This window comes from Homo sapiens, chromosome 2, assembly GCF_000001405.40.
Source record: "Homo sapiens chromosome 2, GRCh38.p14 Primary Assembly".
NCBI classification, from domain to species: domain Eukaryota; kingdom Metazoa; phylum Chordata; class Mammalia; order Primates; family Hominidae; genus Homo; species Homo sapiens.
The window spans coordinates 127,362,127-127,387,386 of record NC_000002.12 but is presented as its reverse complement, the minus strand read 5'-3'; the positions used below and the strand labels follow the sequence as shown (position 1 = coordinate 127,387,386).

Genomic DNA, 25,260 nt, shown 5'->3' with positions numbered 1-25,260 from the left:
TCGGGGGCCGCGGGCTGGGCGCCGGGAGGGGGGCTGGCGGCGGCCTAAGCGCCGCTCCAGGGGCGGAGATTTCGCTGGGTGATTGCCTAGCTGCGGGAGGGCGGACCTTGGGCCCCCTGCATCCAGTCCTAAAGCCCAGGTCAGCGCGAAGTAGGCTGCTGGGCTGTGTTAGCTGTCAGACACGTACCCTGCAGAGATTTTAGAAGAAAGGTTGCATCTGGTCTTGGGATGAAGCAGAAATGGTACATGCAGTAAGCGAAAAAGTGCTTGTCTTTGCACTGTCACAGTGTGGTAATCTTTTGATGTAAGGTTGTTTCCCCCTTTTCTCTTTACGGAATATTTAGGTAGCACTTAGGGTGCTCTTAGTCTGCGCCCGGCAGTTGTCATGCATTATCTCTCTTCATCTTCCCAGCTCAATGAGGTGGGTAAATTGCCCCATTTTGCAGGTGAAAACTTGAGGCTCAGAGAGATTAAGGCATTTGTCCAAGGTCATGAAGGTAGTAATCCAGGAAGGCTTGGTTCGAATATGCAGATGTCTTTTTGTAAGACTGTATTTCTCGTCTTGCAAAAAATAAATACGTTTAGAAAATGAGACTAACTGGGCAGTTTCTTTAATGGGATAAATTCTAAACACATAGACAGATACAGTTTAGTTTTCCCTAACGTAAGCTCTTCGATATCTTTTGCCAAATCATTTTCTTGGCTTTAAAAAAAATTTAAAAGATGGCTTCAGATACCTTTACTTTTTATGTACTAGTACTGGACAGAAAAAAATTATTCTCTCACAAAAAATAAATACATTTGGTAAAACTGCATAGATCTTGAAAAGTCACAAATTTACTTTTGTAGTTTGACCTTGATGCCCAAAGGGAACTCACAGTTGGGTTATTTGCTTGAGATTTCCTTGTTGCAAAATTTGTTGCTGGATTATGTGGCAATTTAGTGATTTGTTCGTTGTCTTATGCAATCTTTTTTAGTTCGATGTCAAATTTTAATGCGTAGAATATCGTAGGAAGTTTGATGGTGTGATTCTTTTTCATTTGTATGGAGTGCTACTAGTCAGTGTTTATAAGTTAACTGAAAATTCTCATTTTAGCATGAGTTTTGTATTTTTTAAAACTATGGTGAGAGGAAAAAATAAGGAGCCAGAGCTCTGTACTGAAAAAAAGTCGATACATTTCCTTTGAGTAATTGAAGCTCTATGCATAATTGCAAATGTTTAACAAATCTATTGATGCCCAGTTATATTACTCTGTAATTTTCCTAGTATATTATCAAGTTGAAGAAAATTTGTGGTCTTGCAGTCTCTGTGGAGAAAAGGTGAAATTACAAAGTTAACATGTGGATGGTTTACAGATTGATTTGTTGTTTGGTTAAAATATAAACATGTTGAATCTTATTGAATTATGTTGTATATGATATCATTATAGAATGGTTATCCATGTGCCTCTTTTGAGAAACTAGCTGTTAAAGGCTTATCTTAAATAATTGGATTGCATTAGAGACTGAGTCTTATAAGCAATGTTTTAGGGGGAGCTTTTGTTTCTAGTTTACTTTATTGGTACCAAAGGGTTAAACTAACAGGTGCTGTATTAAAATAAAGTCATGTTTGATACTCTGCATTTCCTACAGCGTTGGTTTCAGGTTGATTTTCTCTTTCCCTATAGAATTGGAGCTATTTCCCCCCACCTCCCACTTTTTATTATCAAACAATTTCAAGCATACAGAAAATTTGGTAATAGTAAACCACTTGTATCTTGACCCTCTAGATTAAACATTTGTTGTTATCTTGCCATATTTGCTTTATCTATAGGTACATGTACAGGCATACCTTAGAGAGATTGTGGCTTTGGTTCCAGACCACTGCAATAAAGGAAAAGAAGTGAGTCACATAAACTTTTTAGTTTCACGGTGCATATAGTTATGTTTACAATATACTGTAGTCTATTGTGTGCAATGGCATTATGTCTAAAAAAAGTATATACCTTAATTAAAAAATTATTTATTGCTAAAAATTTCTAAAGAAATTTGAGCCTTTAGGGAATTGTAATCTTTTTGCTGGTGGAGGGTCTTGCCTCCATGTTGATGGCTGCTGACTAGTAAGGATGGTTGATAAGGGGTGGTTGTTGAAGTTTGGGATGGCTGAGGCAATTTCTTAAAGTAAGACATTAGTGAAGTTTGCCGCATCGATGGACTCTTCCTTTCAGGAAAGATTTCACTCTGGCATGTGATACTGTTTGATAACATTTTACTCACCATAGAACATTTTTCAAAATTGGAGTCAGTCCTTTCAAACCCTTCATCAACTAATTGCTTATCACCTATCATCTAAGTTGCTTATCGTTGCTTTATCAACTAAGTTTTTGTAATCTAAGTCCTTTGTTGCTACTTCAATAATATTCACATCATCTTCACTAGGAGTAGATTCCATCTCAAGAAGCCACTTTCTGTCCAGGCGTAATGGGGTCACGCTTATAATCCCAGCAGTTTGGGAGGCTGAGGCAGGAGGATTGCTTGCGCCAAGGAATTCAAGAACAGCGTGGGCAACATGGCAAAATCCCATTAAAAAAATATAGAGGTTAGCCGGTTGTGGTGATTTGGGAAGCTGAAGCAGGGAGAGTGCTTGAGCCGGGGAGGGGAGGTCAGGGCTGCAGTGAGCTGTGGCAGTGCAGACCAGCCTGGGCAACAGAGCAAGACCCTGTCTTAAAAAAAAAAAAAGGCCACTTTGTTTCCTCATCCATAAGAAGCAACTTTTCATCTGTTCAAGTTTTAGCTCTGCTTCTAATTGTAGTTCTCTTGCTCTTTCCGTCACATCTACAGTTACTTCCTCCACTGAAGTCTTAAACCCCTCAAAGTCATCCATGAGGGCTGGAATCAGCTTCTTCCAAATTCCTGTTAATGTTGATATTTTGACCTCCTCCCATGAATCATCAGTGTTCTTAATGGCATCTAGAATGATGAATCCTTTCCAGAAGGTTTTCAATTTACTTTGCTCAGATCTGTCAGAAGAATCTGATCACTGTCTATGGTAGTTATAGCCTTACAAAATGTATTTCGTTTGTTTTTCTTTTTTTAGTTTCACAGTGCGTATAAAGTTATGTTTACAATATACTGTAGTCTGTTAAGTGTGCAATGACATTCTAAAAAAGCAATATATATATATATATATATATCAATTAAAAATTATTTGTTGGCCGGGCACGGTGGCTCACGCCTGTAATCCCAGCACTTTGGGAGGCCGAGGCGGGCAGATCACGAGGTCAGGAGATCAAGACCATCCTGGCTAACAGGATGAAACCCCGTCTTTACTAAAAATACAAAACAAACAAACAAACAAAAAAAACCACTAGCCGGGCATGGTGGCGGGTGCCTGTAGTCCCAGCTACTCGGGAGGCTGAGGCAGGAGAATGGCGTGAACCCGGGAGGTGGAGCTTGCGGTGAGCAGAGATGGCGCCACTGCACTCCAGTCTGGGTGACAGAGCGAGACTCCATCTCAAAAAAAAAAAAAAAAATTATTTGTTGCCAAAAAAATGCTAGAAGAACATCTGAGCCTGGCTCAGGCTAGCCTAATTTTTTTATTTTTATTTCTATTTTTAGAGTTAGCATCTCAATGTGTTGCTCAGGCTGGTTGCAAACTCTTTGCCTCAGATGGTCCTCCCACTTTGGCCTCCCAAAATGTTGAGATTACAGGCATGAGCCACTGTCCTGGCTGTATTTCTTAAATTAGGAAATGCATCCAAGTTGGAAAAGTCAAAATACCCTATTCCCTGATGACATGATCTCTGTCATATTTAGAAAAACCTAAGGATGCCACCAAAAACCTCTTGAATTTGACAAATAATCCAGTAAAGTGTCAATACAAAATCAGTGTACAAAAATGAGGAGCATTTCTATACACCAATGACGATCCAACTGAAAACTAAATCAAGAAAGCAATCTTCAAAAAAAGAAAAAATCCACCTAGAAATGTATTTAACCAAGGAGGTAACAGATCTCTATAAGGAGAACTACAAAGTCCTGATGTAAGAAATTCTAGATGACACAGACAAACGGAAAAACATCCCATACTCGTTGATTGGAAGAATCAGTTTTGTCAAAGTGACCATACAACCTGATATGGGTTGTTTATTTGTCTCCTCCAAGTCTCATGTTGAAATGCAATCCCCAGTGTTGGAAGTGGGGCCTGGTGGGAGGTGACTGGATCATGGGGGTGGGTGCCTCATGAATGGCTTAGCAGCGTCCCCTTGATGATGAGCAAGTTCATGTGAGATCTGGTTGTTTAAAAATGTGTGGCATCTCTCCACTCTCTCACTTGCTCCTGCTCTTGCCAAGTGAGGTCCTTGCTCCCACTTTGCCTTATGTCATGAGACCTCACCAGAGGCCAAGCAGGTGCCAGCACCATGCTTCCAGTCCAGCTTGCTGAACCGTGAGCCAATTAAACCTCTCTTCTTTATAAATTACCAAGCCTGAGGTTTTTCTTAAGAGCAATGCAAGAATGGCCTAATACACTACTCAAAGCAATCTGCAGATTGAAGGCAACCCCTATCAATATACCGACATCTGCTGGGTAGAGTGGCTCATGCCTGTAATCCCAGCACTTGGGGAGGCCAAGGCAGGCGGATCACCTGAGGTCAGGAGTTTAAGACCAGCCTGACCAACATGGTGAAACCCTGTCTCTACTAAAAATACAAAAATTAGTGGGACGAGGTGCCAGTAGTCCCAGATACTTGGGAGGCTGAGGCAGGAGAACTGCTTGAACCCAAGAGATGGAGGCTGCAGTAAGCCAAGATCGTGCTGCTGCACTTCATCCTGGGCAATAGAGTGAGTCAATTTGTAAGAAAACACATTATTATCTGTGAAGCACAATGAAAAGTGAAATAAAACAAGGTATACCTCTACTGAAAGAAGAAAACTATCAAACTAGAATTCTAGATCCTGGAACTATGTATTTCAAAAATAAAGGAGAAATAAACACTTCCAGATATCTTTTTTTAAAAAACACTATGAAGCAGAATAAAATGAAGCTCAATAAAATGAGATATACTTGTATATTATTTTCAGCTGAACTCTTTGAAACTAAGCTATGGACATTATGACATTTTACCTCTCAATATGTCACATGCATCTCCTAAAGTTAAGGACATTTTCTTACATAGCCAAAATACCATTATTGTTACTTTTCTTAGGTGCGATACTTCTTTCATATACTCTAATATATATCCATATTTACATCTCATTCGTACTGAATTGTCATTTGTGGTTTGTACACCCATCCCCACCAAATCAGGATTTCATCAAAGTTTATTCATTGCATTTAGTTGTTAAGGCTTTTTGATCTCTTATAGTCTACAGCAGTCTCACCTCTTACACCCTTTAAAAATGACAATGATTTTTTTTAAGAGATCAAGACAGTTGTCTTATAAAGTGACTCATATTCTCGATTTGTCAGATTCCACCCCCCTCCCCCCGTCATAGCATTGTTTAGCTTGTTCCTGTATTCCCCCATACCAGTTGTTAAGTGTAAACTAGATTTAAAGGGTCGATTAGTTTTAATTTCAACATTTTGGACAAGAATACCTAATAAGTGATTTAATATATTTTATATGCCTCCCATTAGGAGACGTACACTGTGCAGTCCCATTATTTGTGATACTAAGTTTGATTGCTTGGTTGAGAGGAGTAAGGTGAGGTATATTTTTCTCACTGCAGTCAGCAAGTAATCTGTGGCATGATAAATTAGCACTGTAATGCTAGCCTGTTCTCCAGTGATCTTTTACCTAATAGTTGTGGTATCTTTTGCTGATCCTTGTCAGGCTAACTTTTAAATTTCAGTGTTAATAAATGTTTGTTGGTCTATAGATGGAAACAAATCACAGGAATTAAAAAATATCCAGCTAGGTTAATCAGAATCTGATTTTGTGGATTTTAAAGATTTTAACAAAGTATTCAAAGTATCGTTTGTTACGAATTTTATAAGAAACCTGGCTTGAAAAATGGGAATAACTCAATGCTGGTCTTCTGTACTCTTAAGAAGTGCATTTAAATTTTTCTTAGATAACATCTACTGCACAAGAATAACCCAGAAATACAATATAAAGGAAGGGTGGATCTACTAAAATACATTTTGAGAAAATTGTCTATTTTCTGATGTAATGGGAGGAACACTGGATTGAGAGTCAGAAGATCATTCCTACCATTATATGAAGTTTAAGAATTACAAATTTTTGAGCTGGGCTGTGTGGTGCATGCCTCAACTACTCAGGAGGTTAAGGCAGGAGAATCCCTTTAGCCCAGGAGTTGGAGGGCATCCTGGGCAACATAGCAAGACCCTGTATCAAAAATCAGGAAAAAAAGAAGGATAAATTTTTAAACTTTACTGCATGTTCTTATTTCATAGTGATTGCTTTAGTAAACATTTATGAATAAAGAATGAATTTCTGATGAGATATGTTTGTAGTGAACTTCATTTTTATGAAGCCAGTTATAAGTAAATCAAATGTATGTAATACAAAATTGAACTTAAAAAACCTTTCCTCTTATTCTCAAAGTGTTGTGTGAGATGTATCTATATATCTATATCTACACACACTTAACAAGAAATGTTAAGTTTGTCTTTTGTCTTGGATATTCCTGGGATTGATTTGGAACATTGGTTGACTATATTTCTCTTGGTAGTTAATTACATGGTTGCTTTGTAATATTTCTTGTATTGTTGCCTTTATTGTTACTTAACTCTTAGGTTAAAGAGTTAAGATTAGGTCTTAACTCTTACTTTGTTGTTGTTGTTTATACCTTGCCTTCCCAACTAATAGGAGGATAGGGTTAGAATCTTTAGATTCCCTACTGTCACTAGCTTACTGGTTTTCTTACAAGTGGTCAACAATTATTTGTTTGAGATTCATAGTACCATAAATTTAAAAAGCACTACGAGGTTTATAAACTTTGGAATTTTTTCCATTTGTGTGGTTAGTCATTTAGTGTGAACTTTAATAGTTAATAATGACAAAAGAATAGTTTAATATATTTTATCGGTATTCTTTGGATCATTCTCAAATTAGGTCCCTTTATTGTCACTGAGAATGCTCCTAGAGCACTCTGTGCACACTTGCCTCTACCATTGTACTTGCCACATTGCACTATAATCATTGATGTGTCGTTCAGTAGTAAGTTAGCTCATCAAGAACAGAGGCAGCGTTTTGTTGTTTGGTACTCCAGTACCTAGCACAGTGCAGACAGCAGGGATCTCCTTTTGCAGTGCTGTAAGATTACTTAAAAGGTGATGCCTCCCAAAATCATTGATGATTTACAGAAGTTTTGGTTTGAATTTACTGGTTGAGTTTCCTTTGTTTCTTTTTTTCTCCCACGAGATACTGGTTTTACTTTAGTTAAATGTAATTTTCTGTGTTCTAGGCACTGATTTCAGTACTGCTTTTAAGATTTTAATTCATTTAATCCCTACAACAACCCAGTGGAATTAGTTACTGTTACTATATCTGTAGTGCAGATGAGGGAACTGAAGCACAGGGACAATAAGCAACTTGCTTAGGTTCACACATCTTGTCTGTGGTGGAGCTAGGACTTGAACTCAGGCAGCCTGGCTCTAGAATACGTGCTCCTAACATGCTGCTTTTCTTGCTTTATCAGGGCAATGAGAAAATTAGATGTGTAATATATCTTTCATCAAGCAATATAAAAACATTCTTTGACATTTATATAATACTATATAATTCATTGAGTACCAGCTGTGTACCAGAGTGGAGATGGTATTTCCAGAAGGCCTTGAAGAGTCATCAACAGTTGAACTAAGTTAACAAACCTTATACGTTAACCGACTGTGCTTATAATGTGTATTGAAGAAAACTTTAAAATACAGAAAAGATAAAGAAAATAAAGGTAGTGAATAGCTAAGATTATGAGCTTGGGATCTAGACCTGAGTGTGAGTCTGAGCTCCACTCTCTAAGCCTCACTCCTCTGTAAAATTGGGGTATAGTGTCTAATTCATGGGGTTTTTAAATGAGGTTTAAGTGAGATAATATGTTTAGGACGGTGCCTAGCATATAATAAGTATTCCAAAAACATTATCAGTTATTGTAAAAATCTCTCATAATCCACATAGATTCTGTCTATTTTGATGTACAAAGAAGCTCTCTTATTTAATGTGATTGGGAGGTAGTATTTATTAAATTTAAAAAAGTTATTAATATAAGGGGAATACAAATGATACATTCTACCTTAAATGTTTATTTTGTTTAAGAAAACATAGAGGCCAGGCACCATGGCTCATGCCTGTAATCCCAACCCTTTGGGAGGCCAAGGTGGGTGGGTCGCTGGAGCCCAGGAGTTTGAGACCAGCCTAGGCAACATGAGGAAACCCTGTCTCTCCAAAAAAAAAAAAAAAAAAAAACAACAAAAAACCCCACAAAATTAGCCAGACGTGATAGCACACACGCCGGTAGTTCCAGCTACTCAAAAGGCTGAGGTGGGAGGATTACTCAAAAGGCTGAGGTGGGAGGATTGCTTGAGCCCAGGAGGTCCAGGCTACAGTGAGGAGTGATCATGCCGCTGCTTTCCGGTCTGGGTAACAGAGTGAGACCCCATCTCAAAAACAGAAAAACCCAGAAAACAAACAAACACAAAAACCATATAGATGTAAAGCAGTCTGAGTATATGATCCATCTAGAGACGTATGATTTTTTCCTCCTAGTCTTTTACAGTTGATTCACCTGTACCTGATTTAACAGTTTTTGTGACTAGCTGTTGAGTTTTTCTAAAATTCAGGTTCATTTTTATAGAATCAACTCTTCATATTTACAATTTTACTGATTTATATAATATTTAAACTGAATGTTATTTTATCATAAAAAATTATGTTACAAACTGTAAATTATAAATATAACTAATTTTCGGTAAGTTGATGGGAACATAAATGTATTGGTTTGATAAAAAGTAAGCTTCACTAGTGGTGAATGTTCAGTAATTTGTTGGAGAGAATGGAGAGTGTTGTTTAATTTGCCAAATTAGTTTGTTAAGGATGTTGGATAAGAGAAAATATTGTTGCCTTGCTTTCTAGTATCTCTGAGTAATTGAGAAAGTATTATACAGATATTTAAACAAAGGATTCAGCACTACGTAATAATAATGTACCAGTTTTGTTTCAGCTCTTTCAAGTTTTTAAAATTTGTACCTTTGGTTTTTCTTTGTATTCTGGTTCCTTGAGGATGTGTAGTTTTTTAGATCTCCATTTTCCATGTCTGTCATCTTCTCTCAGTATCTTTGCATTCTGGTAAAGCTTCTTAGGTTTAATCTCTGTAGCCACATCAGTAGTTCTTTTCCTTATTCCCTCTAGTATCTATTAAAAATATTTTTTGTCTCACAGTTTTTGTTGCTGTTATTGTTTGTTTTGAGACAAGGTCTCTCTATGTTGTCCAGGCTGGAAGGCAGTGGTGTGATCTCAGCTCACTGCAACCTCTGGCTCCTGGGCAAGTATTTTATTCTGCAGTTGAATCTGTATTATCTTGGTAGTCCTAGATTTCACCCATTTCCTTTTTCACGTTGTCTTTGTCTTGCATCTCAGCCTAGCCTCCCATTTGGCTTTCTCTTCCTGTTTTATAAAGACATGTCTTCTGGCATTGAAGCTATCATACAATTTTCTACAAATTTCAAACCGTATCTTAGGAAGCAGAGATAATATTTGATTGTCTACTGTGTGCCAGAAAATTCATATTACATTTTTAAACTTAATAACTATGGTATATCATATTTTTCTGATTTTACAGGTAAGGCTCAGAGTCACATAGTGCAGTTGGGATTTTGTGTGGCTCTTCCAGTTAGAGCAAAGGTTCCTAACATTCCCACTGCCTCCACATTGCTCATATTCTCATTATATTCATCATTCTCTATAATGACTATACGCACTGGAATACATATATTCTCTGTGATGAATGTGTGCACTGGAATCTTCTGGGGCTAGGGCCAATGTAGTTTAAAAAAAAAAAAACCACTGAAATTTAGATGCTATTCTAAATAGCTTTTATAATTGCTTTTATAATTGCCCACATTTTTTTATAATTGCTAAGTCAGAGTTCTGATAAATATTTGAGTAAACTAGAATTATTTCTTTATTTGTATTACATATACTTTTCAGTGGGATGACAATAAACTCGTCTATTTTAAATAAATTTTATGGGAAGTGGGTTCATTTTTCTGATCTCTAAGAGAAGTAATATGGGAGAGTTTAATGTCCATAGTTAAAGTATTTATTTTAATTTCTTAAAATGAATAGAGTGAACATTGGGTATTTTCAGTATGATTTCTTTTTTTTTTTTGAGACAGGATCTCGCTCTATCATTCAGGCTGGAGTGCAGTGTCAGGATCACTGCTCACTGCATCCTCGACCTCCCAGACTCAAGCATTCCTCCCACCTCAGCTTCCTGAGTAGCTGGGACTACAGGCACACCATTATACCCAACTAATTTTTAAATTTTTGTAGAGGTAGGGTCTCTGTATTGCTCAGGCTGGTCTTGAACACCTGGGCTCAAGCGATCCTCCTGTCTCAGACTCCCAAAGTGCTGGGATTATAGGTGTGAGCCACCATGCACAGCATCAGCATGATTTTTAACTAGTTGTAGACTATTATTCTGAGTAGGCTGTGAACAAAAACCCCAATATCTCAGTGGCTTAAAACAACAGAAGGTGTATGTTTTGCTCATACCATGTATTCATTGAGGGTCAGCTGGGGGCTCAGCTCAACATTTTTGTCATCCTTACTTTGGGTCCCACTTTGGGACCTCACATGGGAGCAGCCCCTGTACGGAACTGCTGGGTCCAACCCGCAGACCCTGGCTGAATGATGGATGAACAAGTGCACTCAGACACCAGAAACCAGTGAAAGAGCGGGCTAGGGGACCAGGCCACCCACAGACACCAAGGAGGGTGCTGTAAAGAGTCAGCAGCTGCGGCCCTGACAAGCCTGCGCTGCCGGCATTTATTCAGTATAGATTTAATGACAAAGGCCTTGAGTCAACACACTGGTGGGCAGTTCACATGGTTGCGCTCCCCCCCTTCCCACCCTCCCACCCCAGTAGTCCTGCACGTGGATGATTAAAGGCCAGGTTCCAAGGTCTAAGTAAACTTATCTAGATCAGTTTCTTTACATTCCCTTTTTATCAACCTAAACTGTCAGGCACCGGATAAGAGAATCTGGCTGCCTTCAGCCAAATCTTTTTCCGAAGCTTTTGTAAAAACCTTACAGCCTTCCAAGAAGGTTTGCATCTTCCTACAGTTTTTCCCATCACCCTGACTGATCTCCTACATCTCTCCCTTTTCTGTTTTTAGCATCAGGTTTTGTTGATAGGAGAGTACAGATATGTGCAGTAGGTTTGTCAGGCGTGGTGGTAACTGCTCATATTCCAGCTTTGCATCCTAGCATTAGTAAATAACATAAGACAAACTTGAGTATAATCAACATTTTTTTTTTTCCAATCAAGGAGTGACCTATATTGTTACTCAGCAGTTCAGTTCATTGTGTGCTGTTACTAAGGAACCCCACTGGGGTTATGTTAATCTCTCTCAGCCAAGCAGTCACGTTGTTAGAAGCTGGGAAGGTCGGGTATTTGTCTAAGTAACAGGGCAGAAGAAAGGCGGATTTAGAGGATGGGCCAAATAGAGTGTAGCAGGTACTAGTTGCAGGCAGAGTGAGAGAATTAATCCCAGCACTTTGGGAGGCTGAGGCAGGTGGATCACGAGGTCAAGAGTTTGAGACCATCTTGGCTAACATGGTGAAACCCCATCTCTACTAAAAATACAAAAATTAGCTGGATATGGTGGCATGTGCCTGTGGTCTCAGCTACTTGGGAGGCTGAGGCAGGATAATCACTTGAACCTGGCAAGCAGAGGTTGCAGTGAGCCCAGATCGCACCACTGCACTCCAGCTTGGTGACAGAGTGAGACTCTGTCTCAAAAAAAAAATAAATAAATAAATAAATAATAATAAAGCATAACAAGGAGCAGATTATCTGGAGTGAATGGTGTCTGTGTCCAGAGCAGGATTCACTCAGTCTTCTGACTTGTCTTCTTGAGCATCCTGTCCGGGGCCTGTGTTGTCTGATGAAGCCACATTGTTCGGGGCTATGGGTCCCATAGGGTTATTTTCTTTATTTCTGGTACTGGGTTGGGTCCTAGCCACACCATGGTATGGTTCGATGCATTATGCTGGAATACAAAGAGGACCTGAGGGGGTGTGAACACAAGCATATCCTCTCCCCCACGTTAACAATTCATTTGGACCATACCATACATTACTGTTTACGTCTTTCCATAAAACTGCAGGTTTTATTTCTTGAGAGGTTTTAGCAAAGTGCTTTTCTACAGCTGATTGAAATTTATTTAAATTTTAAAAATTAAGGGTAAATAAGGCTTGTGCTAGTAGTGTTGCAGGGTCCTTATTCATATTCCCCCTTTTTTGTTTTCTGAGCATATTTTTAAGGCTGGATTGGGTACGTTCTATGGCCTGTCCTTGGGAGTTATACGGGATGCCTGTGGAATGTTGGATGTTCCATGTGTGACAAAATTGTTGAAATTGTGAGCTGGCATAAGCCAGACCATTATCAGTTTTAATTTCTGTGGGCCGTCCCATAAATGCAAAAGTTAAAAGAAGATGTTTAATGACATATCGGGTGGACTCTCCAGGAAGAGCATGAGTACTAATTAAATGAGAATTGGTATCAATGGATACATGTACATATCTACGTTTTCCAAATTCAGGGATGCGTGTAACATCTGTTTGCCAAAACTGATTAGGTTCTAGTCCTCTAGGGTTAACACCTGTTGAAGGAGGGGATGTGCCTGTGAACTGGCAATCTGGGCATTGTAGGGTAATTTGTTTAGCTAGTCTCTGGGTAAGTTGAAATTGTTTAGATAAGTTTCTCAAGTTTTGGTGGAAAAATTGTTGCAATTGGGTGGCTTGGTCAGGCAGTGATGTCATAACCTGTAGGTCTGCTTGATCATTGCCATAAGCCAGTGGGCCAGGCAGTGAGCTGTGGGCCCGAATGTGTGTAATAAAAATAAGATGTATACATTGATCTAGCAGTTGCTGAAGTCGGAGAAAAAGTGCACACAGGGTGGGCTCCAGAGTGGTCTTAATGAAGGCCGTCTCAAAGTTCTGCAATAAATAAACAGTAAGCAGAGTCACTAACAATATCGATGAGCTGAGTGGAGAAAGTTTCTAAGGCTAATATTAAGGCTCCAATCTCAGCTCTCTGAGTGCTAGTAAATCCAGAATGAGTGAGGGAATTATGTGATCTCCACCAGACAGCCGCTTTTCCATGTTTACCAGAGCCATTAGTAAACAATGTTAAAGCATTAGGTATGGGGGATTGAACTATTTTAGTAGGCAAAACAACAGAAGTACGAGATAAGAACTGAAGGAGTTTGTCAGCAGGAAGGGTATGCCCTATAAGGCCTGTGTAATCAGAGAGTGCTGTTTGCAGGTCCATAGATAAGGGTAATACTGCTTCAAATTGCTTTTTACTTAAAGGAATCCTGATGATATCAGGGTCATAACCTAGCAACTGATTGCATTGTCTGAGGCCTGAATAGATGACTTTATTGACTCACTGGACATAGAGAGAGAGTGTTTTAGTCCCGGTATGTGAGCAAAAAACCCATTCTAGAAAGCATAGCTCTGGGCCCATCTGTCTTGTTAACCCTGTAGGGGAGTGTTTAGTGGGAAAAACAAACAGCTGAACTGAATATCATGGATCTGTGCGATCTAATTGCCTTTGAGAGATAAATTGCTCTACTTCTTCAATTTCCCTTTGTGCCGTAGGAGTTAAATACCTAGGAGAGTCTAGGGCAGCATTGCCTTTTAAGATAGAAAACAAGTTTTGTAACTTATCAGTAGTTATGCCTAGGGTGGGGCAAAGCCAGTTAATATCACCTAGTAATTTCTGATAATCATTTAAGGTGTGTAAGTTGCTAGTATCTAATTTAAGCTTTTGAGGTCTTAGCAAGAAATTAGTCTGTATCCAAGATATTTCCAAGGAGAAGACATCTGTACTTTTTCAGGTGCTATGATTAAACCTCTTAACTGTGTATTCTTTGCTACAGAGTTATATAACCTTAAAATCACTGGCTCTGTTGGGGCTGCTAGTAAAATATCATCCATAAAATGAATAATCTTGCCATTAGGAAATTCTTTTCTACTGGGGAGAAAGCCTGATTTACATGATACTGACACATGGTAGGACTGTTCAGCATTCCTTGGGGAAGCACTTTCCATTGGAATCAGGGAGCTGGCCTTTCATTATTGATTGCTGGTATTGTAAATGCAAATTCTTCTCTGTCCTCTTCTGCTAGGGGAATAGTATAAAAGCAGTCTTTTAAGTCAGTAACGATTATAGGCCAATGTCGAATGGCCGTGGGGGAGGGGAGCCCCTGCTGAAGGGGCCCCATAGGTTGCAAATTAGCATTGATAGCACATAAGTCGTGCAAAAGTCTCCATTTACCAGACCTTTTGGGAATGACGAAAATGGGTGAATTCCAGGGGCTGTTTGATGGTTCTGTATGGCTGGCTTTTAGTTGCCCCTCAACTAATTCACGGGCTGTTTGTAATTTCTTTCCCTTTAAAGATCACTATTCTACCCAAATAGGATTTTGAGAGAGCAATGTCAAGGGTAGGGGAGGAATAACTGTGGCCATTATTAGAAAGAGGTCTGCAGAGTGACCCCCCCATTGGGCTAATAGGTCCCGTCCCCAAAGGTTAACAGGGAAGGGCATGAGTTGAGGTTGTATAACTGCCTTTCTTACCTCTGAATCGCAACAGGTTAGGGGGCACGTGCTCTGCTTGGCTGTGTGCGCTTCCCCAATGCCAACAATTTTTTGTTTCTGAGTGACCCAAGGACAAGTTTCTGGCTAGTTTTGATCATTAATGTTTGAAATATCCATCCGTGTGTCCAATAAGCCAGTAAAATTCTTATTTCCAATTTTTAAGGTGATCATGGGTCTCTGGTTAGTGATTAATTGATTCCAGTGTACTTTTGTGGCTCCTGTGCTTCCAAAACGTCCCTTTCCCCCTTTCTGGGCATTGGGGACCCAGTATGGTAAAAGCAGTAACAGAGCTGTCTTTGATCCCGGGGGAAGAAATATGCAGACCTTTACATTCCATCATAACTAGTATCTCACCTCAATAATCACTATCAGTTACCCCAGTGAGCACATTGATTCCTTTACTGGATAGGCTAGATTGCCCTAGGACTAATCCCACTGTTCCCAGAGGCAGTGGGCCCCAGATCCCGGTTGCAACCCTTTTAGTGTCTTCTCCTTCTTTTAGCACTAATTCATCGGGGCAGAGTAAGTCCAGTCTTGCGCTCCCAGTGGTGGTTGCTCTGAGAGAGAGGACTGTGGGCTTTCCATCTGACAGAGGAAAGCCACTGACATTGCCCCAGTTTGCAGCAGGGCCTGGGGTCAGCCCCTCATGAAGTTTCCCGCCTGGTTACTTACGGAGTTGTCGTTTTTATCAAATTTGGACTTGCATTGATTTGCCCAATGTTTCCCCTTTTTACATTGCAGTCATATAGAAGGGGGTTCTTTTCCTGAGTTACCTTGGTCTCTATTATTGGGACATTCCCTCTTCATATGACCTGCCTCTCCACATAGAAAACAATTTGGGTTTCCCTCCCTTTTCACTTTAGGAGGCCTTAATGCCATAGCCAATATTTTGGCTTTGTGTGTTTCAGTCCCCACCAGTTGACATGCTTGTGTAAGTTCCCTGACTGTGGCTGCCTTTCCTCTGATTGCATGCATTGCTTGTTGGCGATCCACATTAGCGTTTTTATAAGCCAATTGTAACAAGATATCAGTCCTGGGTGTGACTAATTTGTCTCTTAATTGCCTGGGTTAAACGATTGATAAATTCAACAAATGGCTCCTGAGGCCCTTGTCGAACATTTATAAAAGATCCCTGTTGATCTCTGCTTTTGGAAATTCTGTCCCAAGCCCCGAGAGCGCACAAAGACACTTGTGCATAGGCCTGGGGATCAAAATTAGTTGTTGTACATCGGCATGGGGACGCCTCCCCTGGAGCATAGCAGCTGTTACATCTTGCACGGCCACCTCGTTCTGGTTGGCTTGTTGTTCGCACAACTCATCGTATTCTGCCCTCTAGAGGAGGTACTGGCTGGCCTCCAAAATTGTTTTAGCTAGCACTGACCAGTCCCATGGGGTCATACGGAAGTTGTCTGCCAAGGCTTCAGTCATTCCTTTCGTAAGGAAATGGGCTAGCGGCTCTGTTTTCTTTAATGCTTTTTCTTAGCTTTTTATAAGCATTAAAAGAAATGGGTTCATGTACCTGATTGCATTGTCGTTCTTGCATTACTGGGCAGGCTAAGAGCTCCCCTTCTAATGCCACTTGCTTAAGACAGGGTCCCCCAGCTGTAGCATATCCCTTGTCTTTTCTTCTAGTTTATTGGAGGAGGGGGCTCAGGCAAAACCTCCGTTTCCTCTTTGTTATTTTGGCCCGGTGATAGCGGGGCTGAGGGATAAGGAGGCAGTAAGGTAGATGATGGTTCCTCCTCCCTCCCCTTTTTAGGCTCTTCTGTGTATAACGGGGCCAGAGCTGCCCTAACTAAAGCCCATAATGTTAAAGATGTTACTGGGACCTGTTGTCCTTGTGCATGATGTTTAAGATTTCTCCCCACTTGTTCCTAGAGCTCTATGGCTAGTGTACCTTCTTCCAGGAACCATGGGTTATGGGATACAACAGTTTGCATTAGGTCCCTTAATTGAGCCTGTGAAACCCAGGCTCCACTAGCTTTAAGCAGCTTTTTAAATACTTTTATATACTGTTTCTGTTGAGCTGATAACTGTTGTCCCTTGATGAAACCCTAGCCTGAGCAATTCCCTCGAACTTGGAAATTCAGAGCAGGCAACAGTGACTTACTGACCGCAGTTTTTTCACCTTCATTTTCAAGGGTTCTGTTGTGATCTGTTGCAGCATTCCTCACACAGGGCTCTACCTTCCGGGTCCGACCCGCAGACCCTGGCTGAACAACAGATGAACAAATGAACTCAGACACAGGAAGCCAGTGAAAGAGTGGGCTAGGGGACTGGGCCGCCCACAGACACTGAGGAGGGTGTATAAAGAGTCAGCGGCTGAGGCCCTGACAAGCCTGTGCTTGCGCTGCGGGCATTTATTCAGTATAGATTTAATGACAAAGGTCTTGAGTCAACACACTTGTGGGGAATTCACATGGTCGTGCTGCGCCCACCCCCACCCCCCGCTAGTCTTGCATGCAGATGATTTAGGCCAGGTTCCATGGTCTAAGTAAACTAACTTACTTAGATGAGTTTCTTTACATCCCCTTGTTACCTAACCTAAAGTTTCAGGCACCAGATAAGACAATCTGGCTGCCTTCAGCCAAATCTTTTTCCGAAGCTTTTGTAAAACCTTCCAGCCTTCCAAGAAGGTTTACATCTTTCTACAATTTTTCCCACCACCCTGACTGATCTCCTACACGGAACATTACTGGTTAATTAGTTAAGAGAGAAAAGAGACCATATCAGACTACACTCTGGCTTTTAAAGCTTTTACCTAGAAACATTCACCACTTTCACCCACCAGCTCTGGCCAAAGGAAGACTCTTGACTGTACTTGGGATATAAACAGGATGGGGAAATTTAATCTTTCCATATGCCCAGAAGGATAAAAACAAGTATTTGTGAACAGCCCTCCCACGGAGACAGTGTTTTCTGTGGAAAAGTTTTTGAAAATTAATTTTGAAAATCATTAAATGGAAGCCAGTGGGAAAAATGTGAGTCAATACTATTTCTTATTAGTCTTTGGAAAGAGATCTCCAATCTAAGATGAAGTCATTTTTTACTTGTTTATTTGCTGTTTTTTTTTTTTTTTTTTTTTTTTTTTAGTAGAGACGGGGTTTCACCGTGTTAGCCAGGAGGGTCTCGATCTCCTGACCTCGTGATCCGCCCGCCTCGGCCTCCCAAAGTGCTGGGATTACAGGCGTGAGCCACCGCGCCCAGCCTATTATTTGCTGTTTTGTAATAATACAGTCAGTCCTCTGTATCTGCAGGTGCTGCTGCATCTGTGGATTCAACCAACCACAGATAGAAAATATTTGAGAATGGCCGAGCACGGTGGCTCATGCCTGTAATCCCAGTACTTTGGGAGGCCGAGGCGGGCAGATCACAAGGTCTGGAGTTCAAGACCAGCCTGGCCAATATGGTGAAACCCTGTCTTTACTAAAAATGCAAAAAAAAAATAGCTGGGCGTGGTGATGCGTGCCTGTAATCCCAGCTACTCCGGAGGCTGAGGCAGGGGAATCGCATGAACCAGGGAGTCGGAGGTTGCAGTGAGCCGAGATCCCGCCACTGCACTCCAACCTGGGCAACAGAGTGAGACTCTGTCCACACAAAAATAAAAAATAAAATATTTGAGAATAATAATACTAGTCACAATTCAACAAGCTGGGTGCAGTGGCAAATGCCTGTAGTGCCAGCTACTTTGGAGGCTGAGGCGGGAGGTTTGTTTAAGCCCAAGAGGTCGAGGCCAACCTGGGCAACATCACAAGACCTCATCTCAAAAAGAAAAAAAAAATACAAATTTAAAAAATAACTTATAACAACTATTTACATGGCAGTTATATTAGGTATTAAAAATAATCTAGAGATGATTTAAAGTATATGGGAGGATATGCATAGTTTATATGTAAATACTTTGCCTTTTTATTTTTATTTATTTATTTATTTATTTTTGAGATGGAGTCTCACTCTGTCTCCAGGCTGGAGTGCAGTGGCACGATCTGGGCTCACTGCAACCTCCACCTCCCTGGTTCAAGCCATTCTCCTGCCTCAGCCTCCTGAGTAGCTGGGACTACAGGCGCATGCCACCACACCCGGCTAATTTTTTGTATTTTTAGTAGAGATGGGGTTTCACCATGTTGGCCAGGATGGTTTCGAACTCCAGACCTCGTGATCTGCCCGCCTCAGCCTCCCAAAGTGCTGGGATTACAGGTGTGAGCCACCATGCCCGACCGCCTTATTTTTATTTTTTTGAGACAGTGTCTTGTTCTGTCACCCAGGCTGGAGTGCAGTGGTGTGATCTCGGCTCACTGCAGCCTCTGCCTTCTGGGTTCAAGTGATTCTTGTGCCTCAGCCTCCCAAGTACCTGGGACTACAGGGGCACACCACCACACCAGGTTAATTTTCCTATTTGTAGTAGAGACAGGGCTTCACCATGTTGGCCAGGCTGGTCTCAAACTGCTGACCTCAAGTGATCCACCCGCCTCGGCCTCCCAGAGTGCTGGGATTACAGGCGTGAGCCACCATGCCCAGCCGATACTTGCCATTTTATATGAGGGACTTGAGCATTTGCAGATTTTGTTATCTATGGGGTCCTGAGACAAGTCCCTTGTGGATACTGAGGGATGACTGTAGTTGGATGCTCCTAAGTCATATTTTATTTTAGATTTGTGACTTAGACGTGTTTAGATGTGTTTCATTATCATTATTTGAGAGTTTCTAATTACTGTAAAGTTTGACTGGCTTTGTTACATTTTAATGGTATTATGGAGGTTTTGTTTTGAGACGGAGTCTCACTCTGTCACCCAGGCTGGAGTGCAGTGGTGCGATCTTGGCTCACCACAACGTCCGCCTCCTGCATTCAAGCCATTCTCGTGCCTCAGCCTCCCGAGTAGCTGGGATTACAGGCATGTGCCACCACGCCTGGCTAATTTTTGCATTTTTAGTGGAGATAGGGTTTCACCATGTTGGCCACGCTGGTCTCAAACTCCTGACCTCAGGTAATATGCCTGCCTCAGCCTCCCAAAGTGCTGGGATTATGGTTGTGAGCCACAGTGCCCTGCCTGGAGTTTTAATCCAAAGTATTTTATTCTAATGTGATAGGGAAATGAGACCTAATGTCTCCTGATTCAGTTTAAGGAGAGATAGATCAACATTATGTTTCATATGATGGCTTTAATGTATATTCTGATTAGGCATTTTAAAGTAACCTGTTAACTCCTTTTTAAAGTTAATAATATCTTATTGTATAATATACATATGTCAGACAGTATTTACAAAACTTCTTAGTTGCTCAGATACTATAAGGAAACAAGATAAGTAGAGGGTTGCTCAGCCTTAGATTGATAAAAATCTACTTTTAGAGATGATGTGACATTAATCCAACCAGTCTGTGATCAGTACATGGCTGCATTCTTTTGACTTCACCCCCAAGCTGTTATGTCTCTTCATATATAATCTTGCCCTGTGATTTGAGAAAGGGTAGGTTAGTTATGTGTTCTGAGATCATGTAATGTATATTAATAAAAATACAAAAATTAGCCGAGTGTGGTGGTGCATGCCTGTAATCCCAGCTACTCGGGAGGCTGAGGCGGGAGATTGGCTTGAATCCGGGAGGTGGAGGTTGCAGTGAGCTGAGATTGTGCCACTGCACTCCAGCCTGGTGACAAAGCGAGACTCTGTCTCAAAAAAAAAAAAAAAAAAAAAAACCCTTGACTGTGGGACAGCTTAGTAATGAACTCCAGAATAGTAAGCATTGAGCCTTAGAAAATAACAGAGAACAGAATTATTCTCATGTTATGAGTGGAGAACCAAGACTAATAAAATACATTTTTGGAAATATGTTAGCCAAAAAGGTAGGGAGTGGGGTGAAGATCTTTTTGGAGAAGGAAAAAAAGTATTGGAAAAATTGTACATACAGTCTTCCTTTATGCCCAGTAGCAACCGAAAAATAATTCAGGGAGACACTTGGATAAGCCCAAAATGATTATATAAAAAAGTGAAGCTTCCTTACTTCAAATGGGGGGAAAAACACATTTTGGGACAAACTATACATCACGAAATATTTTTCTTCTCAGAATTTTTTATTTCTTGTTCTTCCTTTCTCAATCTTCACATTTCTAACTAAAGCATACACGTATCCTCTGAGTATTCTTTTTGTTTTGTTTTGTTGGGTTTTTTTTTTTTTTTTCCAGAGATAGGGTTTTTGTATGTTGCCCAGGCTGTACTCAAACTCCTGGGCTCAAGGGATCCTCCCACCTCAGCCTCCTGAGTAGCTGGGGCTGCAGGCATACACGACCACACCTGGCTAACCCTGGAGTGTTTTTAGCTAATCTTGTTCTTAGTTAATAAATTGGTATTGACGTTTGTTAATCTGTTACCCACTCTAGTATTCTCTCCATTAAATATTGCTTTTTGCAAATGGGAGGATCAAGTAGTGAGATACGACTTTTTTGGAATGAGGGTTACTTGTTCCTTGGAAGCAAAGGAGGACAGTGCAGAACTGATAAAACAAGGTTTGTTTGGAAGCAGTCAAATTGGAGACCAAATGATGTAGATTTTGTTATATATGCAAGAAGATCTCAGAGGGAAAGCTGCAGAGATTTCTTGGTCAGTAGATTGGGAGGAAGCTTGAGTACTTGAATCATTTAAGGGCTCAATCAAGAAAACAGAGCTACTATGATATTATGGAATAAGGGATTTAGGAAAGGAATAGGACTTCATACAGCTGTGGGAGAAACTCCAGAAGTCAGAGTCTGTAGGGCAGGTCAGAGAAAAGCTACTATTCAGCCTCTTTGAAGCAGTTGTGCAGTGGTCAGCTCAGCGTTTACAGGTGAATCTGAGAAGCCAGGTATGCCCAGCTACTGGAGTGGGACCACACACTGGAGCTGGTGAAAAGTCTGTGGAGAGTTGTCACCTCTGTGTAGCTGCCTCTTTTGTGGTCCTCAGTCAAGCTTTTGGTGGTGAACCTGGGGTTGCTGTTTGGTCAGCAGGGTTGGCAATCAAGAAGAGGAGCTGTATACAGAGCAGAGGAGAGCTGCGCAGTCGGCTGGCAACTGCAGCTCTATCTAACCATACTCTTCAGAAAGTCTTTTGCTCTTTGGGCCACCTACCCTATGGAAAGAGGATTCTGGGAAATGTAGTTTGGATGTAACCAGGTTGACACAGTATAAACTGCCACAGCAGTTAAGGATGAAAAGAAACACAGTGGGGGATGTTAAAGTTGTGGGAGTCCATAGTGATGTTTTATGGATCAAGGCTCATAGGAATGTGAGAGAGCAAGTTGCTTAAGCTCTCTAAGCCCACTTCCTCCTCTGTGAAACAGGGAAATGATAACTACCTTATGGGATTGTTGTAAGGATGAAATCAAATGTAAAACACTTAGAGTGTCTGCTCAGTGCAAGCCATTATAAATAGTAGCTTTTTTTTTTTTTTTTTTTTTTTTTTTTTTTTTTTTTTGAGGCAGAGTCTCACTCTGTCGCCCAGGCTGGAGTGCAATGGCACGATCTCGGCTCATTGCAACCTCTGCCTCCTGGGCTCAAACCTCAGCCTCCCAAGTAGCAGGGATTACAGGCATGTGCCACCACACCCGGCTAATTTTTGTAGTTTTAGTAGAGACAGGGTTTTGCCATGTTGGCCAGGCCGGTCTCAAACTCCTGACCTCAGGTGATCTGCCTGCCTTGGCCTTCCACAGTGCTAGGATTACAGGCGTGAGCCACTGCGCCTGGTCAATAGTAGCTTTTATTAGTAGTCATTGCAGTAGTAATGAGAAGAGATTGAGAAATAGGAGGGGTATATTTTTAAAGATGAGGGGAAAGGTGGAGGGAAAAGAAGATGAGTGCAGAATAAAGTAGAAGACATAGTTCCTATATTTGAGGTTATTGTAGTCTAGTGGCAGAGAGCACATGTAAAAATATGGAATAGTTAGGAAGCTGTTCTATGAGGTAATATCCTTTCAGAAAGGTGACTGTGTGATGAGTGGAGAGATGGCAAGTGCTGTCATTCCAGTGTAGCCAGGGTTAGGTGGTAGTGTATGTGAAATGTCTAGCACATCGTCTGACAGTCCACAGACGATAATTCTTTTCCATTATCGTTTATACATGGTAAGATGACCAGGTGAAGAGGACAGGGAGGGCTTAAGCTGGGCCCTTAAAAGATGGTTTGGACAAGTAGAAAAAAGGAAGCATTTCAGACAGCACAGAGACAAAAAGTAGCTATCAATAAGGCATATGGAACACTTCGTAGTATAACTCAGAACCTATTGACTCCTACTCTTTGCTTTTTTTGATTATCTATTTGCTTCTTTTGGTTATCCGAATGGTTTCCTGGGTAAATTGTTTTGAGATGCAAATTAGTAGTAAGATTTACTAAAGAGAGGGGAGATGGGTATTCAAGGGATGAGCAGAAATCAAGGACCAGGAAGGGGGCTCTATTAATAGCAAGTCCTTTGAGAAAAGCAGATAGGTTAGATTGACTGAAACATATGTGTGCTATATTATGTTATGGTTGTAAGGAGAGTCAAATTTGCAATTTATTTAAGATGTTTGGTAATAGGCTAGCTATGTGCAAAGTACTGTTAGGTGCTGTGGGAGATAGAAAGATACCTAAGTAGTGTTTCCTGGCTGGGCTTGGTGGCTCTTGCCTATAATCCCAGTACTTTGGAGGCTGAGGCAGGAGGATCACTTGAGGCCAGGGGTTCAAGACCAGCCTGGGAAACATAGCAAGACCCCATGTCTAGTAAAAATTGAAAAATTAGCCAGGCATGGTGGTGTGTGCCTGTAGTCTTAGCTACTCAGGAGGCTGAGGTAGGAGGATTGCTTGAGCCAGGCTAGGTGACAGAGTGAGACTCTATCTCTAAAATAAATAAGTAAATACATTTTTAAAAGGTCCTGTATAATGAAGACAGCCAGCTACACAAATAACATTTTTACAAAGCATGGAATGAAGAGGATTACAGGAATTGATTTGAAGAGAATTGGCTAGTCTTGGGTTTTTGTGTTGGAGTTTGAGGTTCAGGCAACGTGTTGACTTCAGAATTCTGACTGAGAAGTACTGTGTTTGATATCATTGGGGAGTTTTGCAATAGAAAGTGTTAAACTCCCATCAGCAAAATATTAATATGTTGTTCAATATGAACTGATTTTGACTGAAGCCTTGGTCATGGTTTTATTATATTAATAAAGTATTAAGGTATAAATTCTGCTTACTTTGGAAGGATTTTTAATTTTTAGAGGATGTTAGCATTTTATCATTTTTAAAATCAAGATTGGTGAGGAGAGCATATTGGCACACAGTAAGCATATGTTAAATGTTGGTTGAAAAAAATAAACAAACAACGAGAGGCAGTGTAATACACAGTCATCCCTTGGTATCTGCGGGGGATTGGTTCCAGAACCTCGACTCCCACAAATACCAAAATCCCCAGTTGCTCAACATCTCTTATATAAAATTGAGTAGTACTTGCATGCAACCTACACACATCCTTCCGTATACTTTAAATTGTCTCTTGATTACTTGTAATACCTAACACAGTGTAAGTGCTGTGTAAATTATTGTTACACGGCATTTTTTGTGTTTTTTTATTGTTGCATTATTTTAAATTAAATTTGTTTTCGATCTCCAGTTGGTTGAATCCACACATGCGGAATGTGCAGATAGGGAGGGCCAACTGTAGTGTGTAGAAGTGGATTCTGCCCAGGATTGGGCTCAAATTCTGAACCTAATAAATGTTAGCTATTTTTTAAATGTTCACTCTGCTCTGGTATTGTTCTAAGTGCTTTACAAATAATATTAAATGTTTGTAACAATCATATAAAGTAGATACAGTTGTCTCCGTTTTTACAGAGGAACCGTGGCACTGACAGCCGTTATTGCTAATTATCGTCCATAAACAGTTGAGTGATGTTTTTGGTAAACCAATTATGGGTTGTTGCTTTTTTTCTAGTGCCTGATAACAGTATCAGGGACAACAGTCAGGGTACAGATTGAGAATTTTTTTTAAAGTCTAAATTTGTTCTAAGAGCTACCTTCTTTCCTCTTTAAAATAATCAAATATAGAAAAAAAATTAAGATTTGTAAACATTTGTAAACATTTAAAACAAATTCCCCCGCATTCTCAGTATTGAGAACTAAGTGGGGTGGGGGAAACCCCTAAGTGTGTATCAACTTAATTTTGTTTAACAAACATTTGCATAATTACTACTATATGCCAGCCTCTTTCTAAGCACTTTACATTAACTTAAACGTTTAACTTCCATAGCAATCTTGAGATACTATTATGCCATAAATCTCCATATTACAAGTAAAGAAATCAAGGCAAAGAAAGATTAAGTCATTTGCCTGCGGTCACACACCTGGTAAGTGGCAAATGCCGATTTCAGTCCCAAGCAGTCTGGTTCCACCGTCTGAGCTCTTCTTGCTGTCTTTATTTTTGTATGTAACATGACCCA

General features: G+C 40.5%; 1 protein-coding gene and 1 long non-coding RNA gene across 7 annotated transcripts in view, besides 1 other annotated feature; one reads left to right on the top strand and one right to left on the bottom strand.

Annotated features, from left to right (window-relative positions):
* Positions 1-25,260, top strand: part of MAP3K2 (mitogen-activated protein kinase kinase kinase 2) — an 89,798-nt gene that overhangs the window by 1,079 nt on the left and 63,459 nt on the right. The window contains exon 2 of one of the 5 annotated variants that reach the window (XM_047442990.1): positions 1,814-1,882. The exons of 2 other annotated variants lie outside the window; for them this stretch is intronic. The gene's annotated coding sequence lies outside the window, so the exon portion shown is untranslated. Of the gene's footprint in view, positions 1-147; positions 1,883-25,260 lie in introns of those variants that run through there. 2 more of the 5 variants (XM_047442991.1, XM_047442989.1) reach the window with 2 other exon arrangements.
* Positions 1,226-25,260, bottom strand: LOC124906074 (uncharacterized). 2 transcript variants are annotated; one of them, XR_007087227.1, is made up of 4 exons: positions 25,165-25,260; positions 16,942-17,040; positions 1,832-1,863; positions 1,226-1,307 (listed from the first exon to the last, which is right to left on the bottom strand). It is a non-coding gene; the product is annotated as an uncharacterized LOC124906074 (long non-coding RNA). The 2 variants fall into 2 exon arrangements; XR_007087226.1 differs by lacking the exon at positions 25,165-25,260 and having other exon boundaries at positions 16,942-17,129.
* Positions 7,688-7,888: a silencer, noted in NCBI's record as "peak3853 fragment used in MPRA reporter construct". NCBI's record gives its function as "represses an SCP1 promoter by STARR-seq MPRAs in K562 erythroleukemia cells {active_cell/tissue: K562}" and the evidence as "EXISTENCE:reporter gene assay evidence [ECO:0000049][PMID:32103011]".